General features: G+C 38.3%; 1 annotated feature.

Moving 5' to 3' along the window:
- Positions 499 to 1,153: an enhancer, noted in NCBI's record as "OCT4-NANOG hESC enhancer chr5:10904846-10905500 (GRCh37/hg19 assembly coordinates)". NCBI's record gives its function as "activates a minimal SCP1, AML or CMV promoter by ChIP-STARR-seq in naive H9 embryonic stem cells {active_cell/tissue: H9 hESC(naive)}" and the evidence as "EXISTENCE:reporter gene assay evidence [ECO:0000049][PMID:30033119]".

A 2,324-nucleotide genomic window follows, 5' to 3' on the forward strand; every position in this document is an offset into this window, starting at 1 on the left:
ACTACATATATTTAGAGAATTAGGAAAATGCCAGCACAGAGCCAAGTGGTGGTTCAGGCTGTTCCCATGTTGTATGCCTCATGAGCCAAGATACCAATTTCTGCCTCTTTCAAAGCATATTGTAGTATTCCATTTTTGGCAAGATTCTCTCCAGAGTCCTGTGTCATTTCCAAACAGTCTCATGAATCACCTGTGGCTTTAATCCACAAAGCAGCATATGCTAATTGCTACAGTCTCTGATAAGTGTAGGGTACAGTGTCTGGGTCTTTAGCCTATATTTATTCATCCCAGAGACATTAATTTATGCATTTATGCATCCATTGAAGAAGCACTTATTGTGAACTCTACTATGGACTAGGCCACGTGGTAAGGGAGGTGCAAATGGATTTGAGACATGGGTCATATCTTCCAGTAGCTTTCAATCCAGATGGCCAAGTTCACCTGTGAAACATCTGAAACTGTTTCTGCTTCTATCCTCACTAGAGTGACCTTAGGCAAATCTTTTAAGTCCTCTGGGTCTCAGTTTCCTCATAGGAAAAATGGAATTAAAAACACCTGTCATGCATGTCTCTTTGAACTCTTGTGCAGAACAGGTTCAGATTGTCTAATACCAGAAAGCAGAATTGGAGCAAATGGCACAAAATGGCAGGTTCTCCAATATAATCTCAGAAGGGATTAACTAACCATCCAAAGTAACCACCATAAGTGTGCTGCCTGCCCTACAGTGAGCTCTCTGTGCTTGCAGGCATTCACATGCAGATGAGGTGGGTGCTTGCTAGAGATGCTGCAGTTGTGTTAGAAACTTAACTTCATCCCCCAAGATGCTGTGAAACACGTGAACGGATGTAACAATGCAGGGTGGTCTTGGTCTTTGGTTGAGTTTCTTTTTATTTAAAAGACATTCATTGGGCATCTACTTTGCACAAAAACTCTGCGCTCTGCCCAGAGGGCATGAATAGGTGAGAGGGGTGGAGTCTCTGTCCTTACAGAGGCAAACATTTTGATGAGGAGATAAACACACATGGTGTGAAAGAGTGAATCAAGTCAAAGAAAAGTACAGAGAATGTGAGTGAGGACACCTGGAGCTCAAAACCTTGAGCTTTTACCCTGGAGTGTGAGTGCTGTGTGCTTCCCCATTATTCTGGAGTCAAGGTTTATGAGAGGAAAAGGAATTCTACTGGGCTTTGGAGCAGGAAGGACATTGTAGGTACCAGAGTGAGCTAGACATGAAATGTGTTCTCAAATTGGAGACATATGGACCCTATAAAAATATTTTGACCATCTAAAGTTGACATAAACTTTTTTTTAATCATAAAGCTATTTAAATACAGACAAAACTGAGGATAAATTTCTTAGGATTATGGTATAGCATATTTATAAATTATATATATACTAAACCATGAAACTAAGAACATTCATGTTTAATTTAATTTAATTTGATTTGATGGGTGTTTTTCTGAACCTAAATTGCTAATAATAGACTTAAGAATGAAGTTTAGACATCAATTTGCCAAGTGTTGTTGAAGTAAATGGAAGAACTAAAATTCTTCAGGTTATTGGCCTGCAAAGTCCTGTTCTTGCTCATCAAGGCAAGGACTAGTAAAAGAAGCAACTCCTAAAGTAGAATAGGAGAATAATCCTAGTATTAAGGAGTGTGGCAAATCTGTTGCCTCCTGCCATCCTTGGCATGTGCCTACTAGCAGGTAAGTCATGGGGCTAGTCCACAGAACTAGTGAGATAAAAGCTAAACTCCCAAATCTGTGTTACAGCAAAGGGGGGAGGGGAAGCTGATTAGCTTAATGCAATCATGAACACATCCAATATTAATGTGGGCTTAAAGAGGTTTGCAGTTAATATTGCAGAAATACATATTGAAAAAGAATAATGAACCTCTAATTACATAAGGCTTGGGTCTTATTTCTTGGAATAACGAAAATGATCAGATGAGGATTTTTAGTGAATATTGACTGGGAACGTTTACAAAATAATAACAACCATTGTAATCATTGTGAGTGAAGGCTGTCTTGAATCCATTGAAAAACAACATGAGGCTACTTTAAAAAGTTATAAGTTATTTACAACAATATTTTTCTGCTATTGCACAGAATGTCATTGTTCAGAATTTTCTACAGGTTGACTTTGACACTAAGACAGATAATGGATTTTTTACCCTTCTGCCTAAAACTTTTCCGACCAATAATCTTAATTGACCTCTACTGTCTACCTCATGGCAGGAACCTGTCAACATTAAGAAAGAAATACAAGGTTTATTATGATTGCCCTCTTAAAATCCTGCTGCAAAGGACACTATTTTTACTTTATTG

This window comes from Homo sapiens, chromosome 5 (assembly GCF_000001405.40).
Source record: "Homo sapiens chromosome 5, GRCh38.p14 Primary Assembly".
Classification (NCBI taxonomy): domain Eukaryota; kingdom Metazoa; phylum Chordata; class Mammalia; order Primates; family Hominidae; genus Homo; species Homo sapiens.